The 17,078-nt window shown below is 46.3% G+C and overlaps 1 protein-coding gene and 1 long non-coding RNA gene across 21 annotated transcripts in view; both read right to left on the minus strand.

The window, feature by feature from the left end:
- KIRREL3 (kirre like nephrin family adhesion molecule 3) overlaps positions 1-17,078 on the minus strand; it is a 580,037-nt gene that overhangs the window by 428,965 nt on the left and 133,994 nt on the right. The window lies entirely within an intron of this gene.
- Positions 1-17,078, minus strand: part of LOC105369559 (uncharacterized) — an 88,316-nt gene continuing 71,238 nt past the window's right edge. For all 4 annotated transcript variants that reach the window (XR_007062939.1, XR_001748435.2, XR_948149.3 and 1 more), the window contains one exon: positions 1-17,078. This exon is cut by the window's right edge and continues 14,129 nt beyond it. This is a non-coding gene — a long non-coding RNA (uncharacterized LOC105369559).

The following is a 17,078-nucleotide window of genomic DNA, read 5'->3' on the forward strand; positions in this document are numbered from 1 at the left end:
ATTACAGGCGTGAGCCACCAGCGCCCGGCCGATCATGGCTATAATCTTAGCTCTACTATTTATTACTTATCTAGCCTAGGACCAATCATCTAATCTCTCTTAAGCCCATTTGCATAACAAAATGTTATTCATACCAGTTTGCATGGTAGGAAAGGAGGAAACTGACTACTTCTGAGTACCAACTATGTGCCATATATATAGTATCTGGAGACCGTAAGTCCTCTGGGAAGGTCAACCAGCATTGTGACTCCAAAGCTTGAGCTATCTCTACTTTAATATGATGAGAGCTGGGAGCATCATGATGAGGTGAGCAAAGAAAGCTCTTGAGAAGCTCCAAATCCATATACAAATTTAAGACATTACGTCTGAGCTGAAAACATGTGTTGTGCTTTTATCACAGTAATTTTCAAAGGAGAAACTGAGGCATGGGGTCAAGGCACTGTACTAAAGGTCCCCCGGCAAGGCAATGGCAGGCTCTTAACCCTGGGATCTTTGCTCTTGGCTTCTTGTCCAGCTCTGGAAGGCAGGTGGACTCCCTGAGCAGAGGCTGCACCATCCTCAGCTGGATGGGAACCAAGACGCCCTCAGGGAATGTCCAGGGAGCAGAAGCTCTTTCTGTGTCATTTGCCGAGTTCCTTGGGATGTTATTTCTCCGGGGAAACCTGTTATTCCTTCCTAGAGTCACTAAAAGCTCACAGCAGGAACTTCATGTAACTTAAGTTTTTTGTGTCGTGCAAGTTTTTTTGTGTTGTTGCTTTTTTTTTAAAATGGGAAAAATACTTCCTTTTTCCAAATGCTATCAATTTCAATCAAACTGTGTATACTGCTGAACCAAAAAGGCTGTTTAAATCGCTGTGTGTGTTTTTTCCCTTCAGTGTCTCTCAATCCTTCTACTAGCTTCTCGAAGAATTAAGATTTGATCTTTTCAAATGTAAATTAAGCAATTTACAAAATATGTATTTTGGCATATAGGAAACTTGGCTTTCCAAACAAACTGGAATTTTATCGATTCTATGAACTGCCATGGAGTTATCTTGTGGCCATAATTTGAATCTCTAATATGAGACTGTTTTCATTTATAACAAGAAGTACATTCTGCTTTTATCTAACTTCAATCTCCATTTCTGCATTTTTAAATGGGTAAAAGAAGTGATGTCAGTTTTAATATGCTTTTCATGAGTTTAGTTTCTCAAATGTTATTTTTATCATTTTGTCAATTTTACTTATTACTGAAACAATATTTGATGCCACAAAAGAAATTGAAATAGGAAAAACATCCACCCACAGCTTCCCCAGCCTAAGACAGCTCTTCATATTCACCCATGCTCTCTCCAAGTTTTTGACACCCTGCATATGCTTTTATGGAGTTATAACAATTCTGAAAAAGTAATTCTCAAAATAAGTTTCACATAAACTTAAAAAAAAAACAAAACAAAACTTCCTTGACCTCCTTTCAAGGTCTCCGGCTCAGTTTTGCATAAAACTTTTCTGCATGTTTCATTCTAAGTATATGACAGGGACTTTACATTTCAGAGATTAAGAATACAGTTCTCAGTGTCTAGTTAATGATATTAATAGTGGGGCAGAACGTATTAATAAATACATGGTGACTGATCTTCAAGGTTAATTATTCAACCCTTTGCATCAACAAGTAGTGCACATGAATCATCTCATGGGAGTCTCCTCTTACAGCATTCAGGGAAAAGGGTTCTCCAGTCTTGATTGTGGATCTTTTTTTTTTCTTTTTAGTAAAAACAAAGCTCCTGTTAACATATGGCCTAAACTCTTCCAGTAATAAGTTTCTTGTGTGTGTGTGTGTGTGTGTGTGTGTGTGTGTATGTGGTGTGTGGTTTTTTGTTTTTCTATTTTTCTCTTAATAGTTGATACTTCTTTTTAAAAATTGTGTTAAAATGCACTAAAATAAAATTTATGATTTAAACTATTTTAATGGTAGAGTTCAGTGGCATTAAGTACATTGTACATTCATATTATTATGCAGTATGAATATGCCACTACCACCCATCTCCAGAAAGTCTGTACCCATTAAATCCTAACTCCTCATCCCCATTACCTCCAGCCCCTGACAACCACCTTCTACTTTGTCTCTATGAATTTAACTACTCCACGGACATCATATAAGTAGAACCATACAACATTTGTTCTTCTTTGTCTGGCTTATTTAACTTAGCATGTATTCCAGGTTCATCCATGTTGTAGCATGGGCCAGAATTTCCTTCCTTTTTAAAGCTGAATTATATTCTATTGTAAATATAGACCACATTTTGTTTATCCATTTGTCCATTGATAGATGATCCGGTTGCTTCCACCATTGACTATTGTGAATAATGTTGCCATGAACACGGATGTACGAACATCTGTTTCAATCTCTGTTTTCAATTCCTTTGGGTATATACCTGGAAGTCGAATTTCTGGTTCATATGGTAATTCTATGTTTAATTTTTTGAGGAACCTCCATATTGTTTTCAACAGTGGCAGCACCATTTTCACATTCTTACCAACAGTGCACAAAGGGTCCAATTCATCCTCTGCAGTCATTTCAATCTCTTTCTCTCTACTTGGAATAACTAGCCACAGCCCTCGTTATAGTCCTTCACAGATATAGATTCACCCTTGTCTCTAAGTCGTGGCTGTGGTACAGATGTGGAGTCCGAGGCACAGAGCTGTTCAGCCCCAGCCCGAAGGCCCAGGGCAGGGCAGAGGCAGGAGTCATCCCAGCGGCAGTCTGGCTCAGGAGCCTGGAAACTTCATCATCATCACGGTGTTAGATTGGCTGTCAGAGAAACTGCTCTTAGCCCCTCCTGCAACCTTATTGATATGGTTTGGATTTGCATCCCCACCCAAATCTCACATCAAATTGTAATCCCCTATGTTGAAGGAGGGCCCTAGTGGGAGGTGATTGGATCATGTGGGCAGATTCGCCCTTGCGTTCTTGCGATAGTAAGTGAGTTCTCAGGAGATCTGGTTGTTTAAAAGTGGGGAATGCCGGCTCCTGCGCCTTCTCTCTCTTCCTCCTTCTCCAGCCATCTAAGACGTGCCTACTTTCCCTTTGCCTTCTACCATGATTTTAACTTTCCTGAGGCCTCCCCAGCCATGCTTCCTGGACAGCCTGCAGAATTGTGAGTCAACAAAACCTCTTTTCTTTCATAAATTACCCAGTCTCAGGTGGTTCTTTATAGCAATGTGAGAATGAACTAATACACTTATTTTTCAAATTTGCTGTTCTTCCACTCAGAACTGCTTCATGAAAAGTAGCATTATCATATGTGTGAGACATTATCATGTGTGAGACTCAGTGAGAGGTGAGGCTCTGGCAGCCAGATGGGGCAGGCTTGCCCATCAGCTCCATCACCAGCCTTTCCAGTCCTGAGAGCTTATCCTCCTTTGCTTCCCTGGCTGTGAGTTTGGGTGAGGTCTAATGCCAGACTTGACATGACCAACCTATGACTCTAGGAGATGGTCTGTGCCCTTTTCCCTCCCACCACCATCTCTATGCCCTCTGGGCTCCTTCATCAGGGTTTCTCTGGACCTGGTCTAGGCTGTGGGCAGGCAGGAGGGGACAGGGCCTATGGACCCAGCAGGGGCTACATAGGGAGATTTGGAGGCACCAAAAGGTGTTCTTGCCCTTGAATTTCTTGAAAAGGACACTGGAGAGCCCCATCTTCCCTCTGCCTGCAGCCTAGTATTTCCCAAAGTTGGTTCCTGGGATGAAAGTCCCTAAAATGCACCTTTCAAAAAGGGTTCCAATGCTAAGTAAGTTTGGGGAACACTTTGTGGGGTATGTGTCTCTGCAGAGCCATATGCACTTTGATATGGTAAAGGCTCTGGAAAATTCCACAGTAATGAAACCTGTGGAATTAAGCCACAGTATCCACCAAGATCTTCATTAAAATACAAACACATAACCAGGATGGGAACTAATCAAAGATAACAATCTGTCTACCTCTCAGCTTTGCTTCTGCATTGAAATGTTGGAACGGGGAACAAGTGAAGACAAGATGGCCTTTAAATTTTTTTTCTCACATTATTTAATTAAACTACTTGATCTTTCTAAGTCTTCATGTTTTAAAGTATGATTTAACGTAAATGTAACACTTGCTCATGATAGAATAATCAGACAAGTATAAAATTAAAATGAAAAATAACTCATAATCTCAACAGCCAGAAATAATCACTATTAGCATATTGAGTATTTTCTGATAACATTTTTCTAAGTATATATATATATATATATATATATATATATATATATATATGTATATATACACACAGACATATATTTTTTTTTTCTTTGAGACCGAGTCTCGCTCTGTCGCCCAGACTGGAGTGCAGTGGCGCCATCTCGGCTCACTGCAAGCTCTGCCTCCTGGGTTCAGGCCATTCTCCTGCCTCAGCCTCCTGAGTAGCTGGGACTACAGGCGCCCGCCACCATGCGCGGCTAATTTTTTGTATTTTTAGTAGCCAGGATGGTCTCGATCTCCTGACCTCATGATCCACTCACCTCGGCCTCCCAAAGTGCTGGGATTACAGGAGTGAGCCACTGCGCTGGGCCCATATTTTGTATTTTTATGAAATGGTGAGCATGCCAGGGATAACATTTTATATTTTGATTTTTTTCTTACCTAACATTATAGCATGAGCATCCAGTTTAACTGAGTGGAACTGTCTCCTGAAGGTTTATGAGAAAGAAGGCACTCACATTTACGTGCACCTATGAGGTGAGAGAGCATCTGCATTTGAGGCCACATTTTATTCTCACATCAACTTTATGGTAGACATATTGCCTCCTCCATACACTGAAGGACATGAAGCCCAGTGGGGTGAGAGGGTGGAGAGCACACGATCGATGCTCCTCCCAACCCTCCAACATCTCTTCTAGAGTCCTGGGTGCCCAGCCCACCCACCTGTGTGCCTTGCTCCAATGGACCCCACCTGTGACTGTGTGCTGTCTGCTGCCCTTGGGCCAGCCCAGGTGCTTCACCCTCCTGCCTGCCCCAACTTGCAGAGAACAGGAATTGCTTGGCAGTTTATTTAGCCAATGATTGCTGTGGGAGGATGAGTATTTGCTTAGAAAGTCCAATACACTCTAAGCTATATGTTACATCCTAGAGCTTCCCAGCAGGATCAAGCTGAGACTGGGACTTTACTTAAAATCACACTTCTGTTTGGCATCATCCCTGTCTCTATTCTGCTTCCCTTTCTTCTTCCTGTTTCTCTTGGGAGCATCTGCCTAGGAATCCTTGCTCAGGGTCTGCCTCTGGGGATTGATCTGAGACTGGTATTTCCTTCATGGTCATATGTCTTAAAGCAGAAGCAGCATTTCCAGGACTTGAACTTAGGTCTTCCAGACCTCAGAGTCAACCGTTTTTCTATCACAGACCCTTCCTTGCCTGATTCCAAAGGAATCAGCCAATGCGTGTGGGAGAAAAGTCTTCAGGCTGTGGGGGTGGGGTGGGTGAGGCTGGGCCCTCTAGCTGCCTGGGATGTGAATGGAAGGAGGACTGCAGGTGGCTGTGTGCAGTGGGAAGCTCATGAAGGATGAGAAACCTACCGCTATCCTCTGTATACACACACCTTGGGGAAATTCACTGTGTCGTGCCTCAGCCTTGCCCCAGACAGCCACAGGGCTCAGGGCACAAGCTGCAGATGAAAGAAGTAATGGGCTTACCACTTTAACATGCTGGCACCCAGCCAGGTCCCCACTTACCGTGTGAACTGCCTCGCCAAATGTGCCAGGAGCCTCCTGTACGAAGGCCAGAGAAATGTGACTGTGGGCTCATGCTGGGAAGCAATTTGGTCCATTTCAACCATCATGTCATGGCAGCAGAATACACAAATATAGACTAGACTTGTCCAGGGGAGCTTTTCTCTCATTAACCTTGAAGGATGACGCACATCCCGTTGACGGCTGCTCTGGAGCCTGTGACTATGAGAGGCCAGGTTTGATGAAGCAATAGGACTTAAACAGCAGACATTAGTGCTGCCAAATGCATTTTTCTTCTTAATACACTAAAGATCCATCATAAATACTGAGAAGGGTGTGTGTGGGAGGGACAGAAAGGCTGGGATGATGTGGCAGGGTGCATATGCTTGCCATTGGGTGCTGTCTGTCGTCAGCAAAAGAGAATAATCTCTCAGTTCTCACCTCCTAAGAAGTTAGCAATCTCTCTGTCTCTGTCTCTTTTTCTCCTCTCTCTCTCTCTCTCCACATGCACACACCTCCAGTGTGAGTTCTCCTCTGCCATTCACAAGGCAGACTCATATTTTGGCTTTGATCTCATAAGAGGTCAGTAGCAGTGTCTGTGATGTGTGTGTGTGTGTGGTTTTCTGTATGGGTTCTGTGATCAGAAGAGGGGCAGAAATGCTTGTGATGAAAGATGTGTAAACAGTTCTGTGCAGAGACAGCTGATAGGCAGTGTCTTCTGCAAATGATGCTAAGGGAAAGACTGTCCTCAAAGCCATCTCAGTCATAGTGCTATTTATGGCTGGAGTGGCAGAACACTCTTCACCTGGATGTCAGGTTGCTAGAAGGGACAGTGGATTTTCCTAGGAAAAAGATTATTTCAGGAAAGAAGCATGGTTTAAACAAGGCTGAGGTTCTGCTCCTGGCTGTGGCATTTAGGAGAGAAGTGGCAGCCGCTGAGGGATGAGGACTCCAGCTATGTACAGGGTTCCTGGTTTCCCACAAATTGACTTCATGTGCTGCTGAGGCACAAACACTCTCTTAAAGAAGTTCTGCAAAGATAACTGTTGACCTTTGCTGAGCTACCTTGCAGGTAGAGCCTTATAAAGGAGACTTTATAATATACCAAAGAGAAAGAAGCCCTGTCCTTGGTTCCAAGGATGGGAAGAGGAGAGGAACACAGGCTATCTGGGGGTGAAAAGTGGTAATGATAATGAAAGCAAATATGGAATATATTAGCTTCTTTAATTCTCACGATGGGCCCAAGAGGGAGCTTCTATCATTATTCCCATTTTTACTGAGGAGGAAACTGACACATGGCAACTTATTCAAGGTCACTGAGCAACATTTAGCAGAGCTTGGATTGGACCAAGGCAATCTGGTTCCAGGGGCCACATTTTGAATCATGGTGCTATACAAGCCATTTTATAAACAAAGAGCAACTGAACTGGACAATGGATAGCAGCCTCAAAGGACAGGAGGAAGCCAGGCCAATAGGAGGAGGAGGAGGGGACCCCCAAACTATATCTGAGCTGCAAAAGCTTGTTCATAATCTAATGAGAGAAGCCACACACATAAACACTCATGGAAAAGGCTTATAACTCTGACAAAAACATACATAAATTGAATTGACATTAAAGGTAAAACTACACCTCAACTGGGGAAGGAACATAGGTGTGGAAATAAGTTTCTCCCCAAGGTTTCTTCCTCTTCTTCTTGGAAGAGAAAGTGACCTCCAAATGAACCAGGTTTGAGGAGAGGAAGGAGGATGAACCGAGAGTCCATGAGGCAGCTAGGGTTGCTTGTTATAGCACCAACCTTAACCTGAGTCTTGCTATTTCTGTTTTTGGCCATGGCAACATATCACTCCTTCCTACCTCACCCTCCTTTCTATCTCTACATATCTCAGTTGAAAACCAATCTTTTCTTTTTTGGAATTGTCTTCATCATTTACTTCTTTTCTGCTCTGATTTACCTTTAGAGCTGTATTAACTCTGACGTTCTACTATTGTCTGAGAAGCGTAATCTGAAAGGGGACAGACATTTTTGACCAATAGATTAAGTAGCAGGAATTCAGGAAGGGAGTAAGGAGGATAAGGAGAGAAAGAGGGAGGATGATATTGGAATTAATTTCAATACAACAAACAGGTAACGAGCATTTGTGATGTGCCCGTTGCTGGTACTTGGTGCTGGGAATATAAAAGATAAGTTCTCCAACACCACACTGTGAGCTCCCAGAGGGTAGGAACTGACACTTAAATGTGTAATGACATGACAATCTGATTAAATTTAATAAAGGCGTGGGCAATGGGTCTGGGAGCACAGAGAAGGTTGCCTTTATTTATGTTTCAGGCAGAAAAGCTGGGAAAGTTATAGAAGTGATATTTAAGAGCCTCAGGTGTTGGGAAGGAATTTGCTGAATGAAGAAGGGAGGAAGAGCATTCCAGGCAGAAGGAAGAGTTTGAGCAAAGGAGGAGAAGTGCATGACCTTCTCAAGACGTAGTGATTGCTCTGGGTGTGGCCAGGCAGCAGGCGGCGTGGAGGCAGAGGGGCCAGGCAGCCAAAGGCCTTGGATTAGGGCTGAAGAGTTGGGACCTACCCTATAAACAACGTATAGTTGTTGAAGGTTTCTAGACAGAAGAATGGCTTGGGGGGCTGTGTGTTTGAGAGACTTCTTCCCAACCACAGGGTGGAGAATGGGTGGCAGGCCAGTGAGGAGGCTCCTGCCCTGGTCCAAAGGAGAGAGGCTGAGACTCTTAGAATGTCCAAGGAGAGGGCAGAGGTACAAATGCAAGATGGCACCCGTGGACACATTGAAAGTTTAGTGATCCTACACTTGATTCTTCTCGCAGTTTCAGAAATACTACCTCCTTTGTACCACTCTTGGTACGTGCCACCTCCTATACAAAGCCTCTCCTGGTGCTACCAGAGGCAAACAAATTCTCCCTCCTTTGTGCCCTCCTGCTTTATGTGTGTAGCCTTTCTCTCTGGGTTCTCTAGATTTATTTTAATTTGTGTACTCGTTTTGTTTGTTCTCACATGGGTAGGGAAAAGGGCAAAGCTCTGGATGTTTGAAAACTTGTTTTGTACTAAGGATATTGTTCTTGATTGCTGCATTGCCCTGGGAAAATTAATTTACCTCTTTGAAGGCTTGGTGTCATCATTTCTGGGAATGTAACATTTAGGCTGCAGGCAGGAAAACAGCACCCATGCAGGTGTCTGCAAGGGAGAGTGAGGCAGCCCAGAGGTTAGTAACAGTAGGCAGCCAATCCCAGGCTAGAGGTACAAAGGAAGGAGGTAGTATTTCCTGAACTCAGGAATCAAGACCACCCAGTGGGAACTGGGACCACCCAGAAGACTCAGCTACTCTCTTAGAAGTGATACGGGGCAGAGAAAGAGAGATGCAGTACCCTACTTCTCCCATCCTCTACCCTCTAACCCCTTGACAGTGCCTTCCGTTGGCTGAACCTACACGGTAGCCAGTTGGCCAGGAGGTTTGGGAGGTGGAGTTCACAGGGAATAGTGGGGAATGGATCTGAGTGTGCCAACTGGCAAATGACCAATATAAAAAATTCACAAAAAGTCTCTGGCCCTACTTATTTCACAGGATATCAGTTAGAATCAAATGAAATGATACATGTAAAAGCCCTTTGTAAATTACAGAGAGCTATGCAAATGTACGCTGGTATATTCACGTTTTATCTGGCAGTCAAAAAAATCTGCATTTAGCTGTTATGAATTCTCTGCTGACCTGGATCTGAAGTGGAGTGTGGACTGACTGCTTCTCGAGGGATAGTCCTTGAGGTGTGGACGTCCAAAAGGCTGCCAGGGATGTCTGGGGGCACATGGACTGTACCGTGTGATACAAAACCTTCCTGCAGAAGATAAGCTTCTGGGCACCTGTCTCTAAACCTTTCCCATCAGACCAGTTGAGTGCACATGAGCATGGCTCGTAGGCACCTGGGCATGGAAAAGGACCTCTCCAGCTCTGCCCTTCTTGGCAGTGAGCAGTTAGCGGCCCTGAGGAATGAAGCCACAGCCGAGTGAAGGCGTTCCATGCTGTCCAGGTGATGGAGGGAGGAAATTGAAAAGACATTCAAGAGTTTCCTGAGCTGAGCTCTTCCCCTAGCATCATGCTGTTCATACTACACATGTTGTTTTGCTCCTGATGATAAAGGAGATGCTAGGGTAATAGGGCTGACGCAGTTGAACCCTGTAGTCTCTTCAGCCCCATTAACCCACATCCACCCAAATGGATTCTCAGCCAGTCCCATTAAGACATCCTGTCAGAACCTTCCCACGTCATTTGCAGAGTGAAGTGAATATCAATAAAATTGTAACGAGTAATTATCCCAGCTTCACTGACTCTTACTGGAAATGAAGCCAGCCCTCTGCTGTGGGTATTGACAAAAACTCCATTCCTCCTGGGAGCTGCTTTTCTTCCGCTGGGTAAATCTGATCCATCTCAGCAGATACCAGGTGTGCTAGTTTAACATTCATGGGCACATGGGCAGCAGGTTTGGAAAGGGGACTCTAGCCCCTGTCCCTTCTGGGCAGTGAGAAGCCCTGATGAATGAAGAGGTTCACTGCTCTCCACGCTGCGTCAACAGAGCGAGTGTTGCACCAGGAGGCAGGGCACCTGGCTTCCCCAGTCACTATCGACTACTCCCACCGTCCACCCTAACTCCATCAGGCCTCATTATTCCATCTATACCACAATAGGTCCTTTCCAGTTCTGGCATTCTATGAGCTGAGAGACAGAACAGCCACAGAGAAATCAATCTGCCAGAGAGTGATGCATTTGACAGTGTAGACACTCGAGGCCCGGTCTACATTGCCAGGCATTTGAGAAGCAGACAGAATGGGAGCTTTGCTGGCAGTTTCTCACCGTGGCTTTCTGACCACAGAGAGCCCAAGCATCACACCTGCTCTGTGGTCATGACAGCCAGCACTGGGATACCAGAGCTGTGAGTGACAAGGTGTTAATTCAAGGCTTAGGGAGTGTGATGGTTAGGGACTGGCCCACCCTTTCCTGTTCTCTGCCTGCTGTCTGAAAGGCTGTCAGCACCTCCTGCTGATGGCTGGCTGCTGGTGACTTGCTGCCTGCTTCCCCCACATGAAAGTGTGGAACACAGCACGAAGGTGTTTCTGCAGCACCTGGGCTGCTGGCTTGGAACGTGCTACCTGTGGGGGAAGACTGGAGGACTGCTCAGTTGCTGTTCTGTGCTGGGATTCCAGCCTCCTCTTCCTGGCTGCTCAGGAAAAGACAGCACAGGCCAAGCTGGGGTTCCAGAAGTATGAATATGTGGGGAGGTGGGCATGGGTGCATGTGAGTGTGTGTTTGAGTGCGTGTGTGTGTTTGAGTGCGTGTGTGAGTGCGTGAGTGCGTGTGTGAGCGCATGTGTGTGAGTGCGTGTGTGAGTGTGTGTGTTTGAGTGCGTGTGTGTGTGAGTGCGTGTGTGAGTGCGTGTGTGAGTGTGAGTGCGTGTGTGTTTGAGTGCGTGTGTGAGTGCGTGTGAGTGTGTGAGTGCATGTGTGAGTGTGTTTGACTGCGTGTGAGTGTGTGTTTGAGTGCGTGTGTGTTTGCGTGCGTGTGTGTGTGTTTGAGTGCGTGTGTGTGTGTTTGAGTGCGTGTGTGAGTGTATGTGTGAGTGAGTGTGCGCCTGTGTGTAGCAGTGTAGTAGCGGAGGAACAAAGAGGTACAAAGAGGAATGGAATCAGTGAAGCTCAGATCCTTAAAGTCACTTTAAGTTGGGTTTTCAGGGGGGATTTTACAGGCTTCTGGGGAACCCCAAGTAGGTGGTATTCCTCTGCCCTGCCTCCCTCCCGTGCCAAAGCTCACACAACAAAGGTAGGCTGCAGGTCTTGCCTGGCTGCCAAAGCTTTCCTAGAGCCAGGGGGCCAGGAACAAGTTCTGTGGGGACCCCTGTTACCTGGCTACACCATGTGTTAACCCAGTGCTGGCCAGGTTGGTTCAGATGACACAGGTGGTGAAGTGGGTACTAGTTTCCTCCGCTCCTCCCCAACCGGGCATCCTCCTTAAAGCTGAACACTTGGCTGAAGAGAGGGTCTGACCAGACAATTTATATTACAAAGTATAGAGCAGGATGCAACTTATAAAAGCCCTTCCTTATCTATTTTTCATGTGAAGTGGAGAAGGTGGAGTTATTATTCTCATTTTAGGGATAAGGAAACTGAACCCAGCAATGAACTTGGAGTGCCAAAGTTCAAACCCAGTACCTCACTCCATCCCAGGATCTCTGTCTCTTACATGAGGGGACAGTGGCTTCCAAAATAATTCCAAGGGTGCTGATAAAGGAGCATCTCCGCTCCTTTTTCCTCCATGAAACTTGGAGAAAGGCAGGTGTGGGACCAGGAGGGCTGCACAGCTTGCAGTATGCCTGCCTGGCCATGGTGACATGTGACAGCCACATGGTAGAGGTGAGGGTGGCACAGTTCTGGAATTCTTATTCCCTGGGAAGGTGCATTGCCCCACTCCTGTTAGCAGCAAATATAAGACTTGGGCTATGTGTCTGAACTGGTCTTGGGTAGTCTCCATTTCACAGACTCCAGTCTGAATTAAGCATCAACCTGCTTGATCTTTTTCCATAAGAAGTAGTAACCAACATTGAATTGCACTATGTGCTTCACATGTATTCATCTCTCACTGTAAACCCACACATTTGGTATAGAATTATCCTTGTTTACAGACGAGAAAACAGGAATAGAGGGAAAATAAATTGCCTTGAGTGCATGCCTCTAAAGCTGATGGAGCTAGGATTCAAATCCAGGCCACAAGGGCTACTTTGGATCCTCCCTCTCCATCATGCATATACCACACCATCCTTCCCATGCAGCTCATCCACCATCATCTGCTCACCTGCCTGTTTTCCTACTGGCCTTAGGTGTGAACAGAGTACATGTCCTGTTCATGATTCCATGGCCGGATCAAAGAGCTCCTCCTCACTCCTCCCTGCAAGCACCTGTGCATGAACCCACCCATACCTGGGGCACTTGTTATAAGGCTCAGGGAATTATGTGACTTGCCTCCAGGAATCAAGGCGCCTCCAGCTTGGACCAGTTTCCTGGATCCCAAGGCCTCTTTCTCTTCTGCCCCTGGGCCACATTGCTAAATATATCCCTGTATGAACCCATTTACCATCTGTAGCTAAAATGCCTCTTGACTGTTCTGAGCCAAGATTAGAAGTCTGTCTAAACGTCAATGATTATTTCATCGGCTAAAAGCAAATTGACCAAGCTCACCCTCCCTGCAGACTAAGAAGGCTCTCAGTCTATTTGTAGCTCAGTCTGATGTGCAAGAGGCGGCTGCTCTGAGTTGAGGCTGCCTGCTGCTTTCTGTACCAATAGGGTTTGCTGAGCGGGTCATTGATGTGTTTAGTCTGGGATTAGTAGATACTTTGGTATAAGTCAGCAGACTCGGGTTATCGAAGCAACAATGCCCCGGTGCTTGCACACCCTGCAGGGCCACCACAGCAGAATCCCATGGGGGTGGGGAGCTCAGGTGGGCAAGTCCCTCATGGAGGTCTGCACACCTTGTTCAGCAGTGGACATCCTGATGCTCACAAGGAAGAGTTTGAACTGAACATGGTCTTTGAGAAACGTGCAGAGATGTGACCAATTGTACAGGACCCTGAGGGATCGACGAAGTCTCTGTTTCTGTCTATTTTGAATTTAAGGAATGAGAGCAGGGACTTGGGTGGAAGAAAAATGCACAAAGAAGTACAGAAGTTTTCCTTTCCAAAAAACTTCAGCAGAATTTTTTTTTAAAAGTGAGAGCTAGAGAAAAATACTTATATATGTTTCAGAACATGTTTTTTCTTTCTTTTTTTTTAATTTTAACTTTGTTTTTCCTTGTGATCCCAAGCTTCTCACCTCCACCGAGTTTCCGGCTGCCTCCTCTGCGCTGAATAATACAGTAGCCAGCCCAGTAGACACAGCCCATTGCTGGGCAGGAGGCTCCCAATACACAGGGAAGGGATTGTTCATTTCATACATCATTTAAAGCCTGCTGCAGTGATTTACCGGTGTCAGCCTGTCTTTGGAGCACAGAAGGAGAAGAAAGAGAAATATGTATGCTTCCATTGTGTATCTGGACCTGGATCTTAGAGAGTGATGGGGGAGGGAGGCCGACTGGGTTTTCTTCCTTATCTAAACACTGCGGAGAAGCCAAAGATTACCCCACAGTTAGGAAGAAAGAGGATAGGAAAGTGGTTGATGTCTTGCAGGGAGATGCTGCTTCCCTTTCCACCTGGCCTGGCCAGGCAGGGAGGGCTGCCTTCCTACAGCCTGTGTATAGTCTCCTCATTCCCAGGTCCTCTCACTTAGATCCATCCTGCACCCCTGTAAGAATTATCTTCTCAAAACCATGCTGATACCATGCTACTAAGGACGTAACACCTTTTCCCCAGGCAAATGGAATCGCTCCTTGCCAGTGACAGTGAAATAGGAGGGGGGCCGGGAAGTGCAGGAAGAAGGATGGGGTCCCTGGGGGGGGCTCCACCCTCTGGCCTGTGCCCACGGGCCTAAGTGAGGACAAGCCACTCCTGTTTTCACGCCCAAAGGTTGCATTTTCCGAGACCACTCTGGCCTGCCACCCTCCTCACTGCCCCCCCACACACACTGACCAGCCTATAAAAACCCCGAGACCCTAGCAGGGAGGAATACACCAGCAGAAGGACACAGTGGCAGACGCTGGCAGGCCATCAACGGCAGGACGAGAATGACGCAGACGCGAGGAGAATTTATTTGGTCAGAGGAGAGTCTGACCACTGCGTGGCCTGACTCCAGGGAAGACCACCTTCCCATTCCATTCCCCTTGTGGCCTCCGCATCCACCTTGCCGAGAACTACCTCCACTCAATAAAACCTTGCACTCATCCTCCAAGCCCACATGGGATCTGATTTTTCCAGTACACTAAGGCAAGAACCCAGGATACAGAAAGCCCTCTGTCCTTGCGATAAGGCAGAGGGTCTAATTGAGCTGGTTAACACAAGCTGCCAACGGACAGCTAAACTGAAAGAGCACACTGTAACACACGCCCACTGGGGCTTCAGGAGCTGTAAACACTCAACCCTACATGCTGCCTTGGGGTTGGAGCCCAAAAAACGTTCCCCACAATCTGCCTGTCTGCCTGCTCCCCCCAGGGGTTTGAGCAGCGGGGCATCTATGCAGCGAGCCACACTCCTATCACACAGCCTGCCATGGGGATAAAGGAAATTCTCCCGTTTCAATAGCAGGTCTTCAGGACCTGTGCTGGGACTCTCCTCTCATTACCTGCACTCCAATGGGTCCAGGTGCCTCGAGGTTCTACACACGGCCTGCCTTAGCCATCAGGCTTCCCATTCGGCTGTTCTCCAGCTTGGAATGCTGTTTCTCCTCTCTCCCACTTCCAAAACTCTTTCAAGGACCAACCTAACACCCACTCCATCTGTTACTCTTTCTGTAACTCAGCCAGCCCTTTCTGATAAGTCACTTCCCCAAACTTCCATAGCACTTCAAGTCAGCAATGACTGGGATTAGATAACAGATAATACTAGTATTAGTTAATAACATTAATACATTTCACCGAATGATTACCGAGTGCCATGCCCCATCAGGATGTGCTGGTAATATTTCCAGGTGAAAGAAATGAAGGCACAGCCTCTCTTGGATACTTATTTAAAGCTACATTCAGCTAGGATGTAAGTTGGCCAGAATCTGAACCCAGACTTTCTGCCTTTTTTATGAGCCTTTAACCACAATTTTTACTGCCGCTCAGTCCAGTATGACTTCTAAGGTAATTGATTTTTAGGTTTGAGTTTAGTTCTGCAATAAAACTGTGGACTCCCCACGGATGCCATGCATGTCTTATATATCTGTATCCCCTACAGCACCTAACCTCAGAGCTAGACATGCAATAGGCATTCAATATAAACTTGATCATTCATTGATTGGCCAGACAGCTCCCTGACTTGAGCACTTCTCTCTCTTCCCATTATGGAAATGTCTGAGTAATACAGCTCTCAAGGAAGACTGGGGGTGGGGGGTGGGTGTGAAGCGGGGGTGGGAGAGCATAGCCAGTTTGTCTTTAGGAGAGTCTCGTATTGGACTACTTCAAATTAACCAGTCAGATGTCTATTAAGCATGTGCTATGGCATACCACACACATGGAGGATGAGAGAGAAGGAAAAACATTCCTGTTACGAAGGTGGCAATGCTCAGATTGGAAGAAGCTGCACCAGTGCGGTCCAGCAGGGCAGCCCTTGACTGAGGGCTTGGCTGTGTGGGGCAGAGTGTGGATAAGGGCGTTAGAGGACCCCGTAGATCGATGTGGGTCGTCAGCAAGGCTGGAGAGGGCTCAGGAGAAAGTGTGGCTGGTGGGGCTTTGAGGGAGGGCCACGTCGCCCTAGGTGGAGAGCAAAGGAGGGCTGGGAGAAGGAAATTGCCCCTGATTCACAGCCTTCCCTCTTTGGTGACTGTAATGGTGGGGCTGGGATTCATTTAGCCTTTTCTCCCACTCCTGATGACTACTAAGCTCTGATGCTTGCTCAGTCTTTCTTACAGGTTGGTTAGGAGGGTAAAGTGTAGGAGTGTCATATACTATAAGCCCGGATTCTATCCACATGTAGGGGCCGATCATTATTTGTTATTGTCTCTGATGCTGTTAGTGCCCTTTCTTATCCTCTCAGCAGCATTCAACTCTACTGGCAGTCTGCTTGGGGCTGCTATAACCGAATACCATACACTGAGTGGCTGACAAACAACAGAGATTTACTTCTCACACTTCTGGAGGCTGGGAAGTCCAAGACCAAGGCACTGGCAGATTAGGTGTCTGGGGAGGGCCTGGTTTCCTGCTTCATAGACAGCTGCCTTCTGGCTGTATCCTCACTTGCTGGAGGGGCAAGAGAGCTCCCTGAGGTTTCTTTTATAAAAGCACTAATCCCATTCATAAAGCCTCCACCCTTGTGACCTAATCATTTCCCAAAGCCCCAAGTCCTAATACTCCTAATCTCATCACCTTGGAGACTAGGTTTCAACATATGAATTTTGAGGGGACATAAACATTCAGTCCATTGTATCTACATAGAAAAAGCTGTTTGTGGTGAACATGGGTGACCCTCTGCCTGAGGGCTTTTTTTTTTTTTTTTTTTCTCCTAGCAGGACATGGCAGAATCCCTGGGTAGTTAATGCCTCAAATGCAGCCCTCAGCCAATGACAGAGGGAGGTGGGGGAATGAACACCCGGCTTCCTTGCCCCTTGGTGGGGATGATGCTGAGGGCTATTCTGTACAGGATGAGACCTGGCTGCCATACTCATGACTTGCTGGATAAGGAACCGTTGCTGCCTACCTTCACTCCCTGTCTTCCTGCCCACTCTC

The sequence above is a fragment of the Homo sapiens genome, chromosome 11 (genome assembly GCF_000001405.40).
Source record: "Homo sapiens chromosome 11, GRCh38.p14 Primary Assembly".
Classification (NCBI taxonomy): Eukaryota; Metazoa; Chordata; class Mammalia; order Primates; family Hominidae; genus Homo; species Homo sapiens.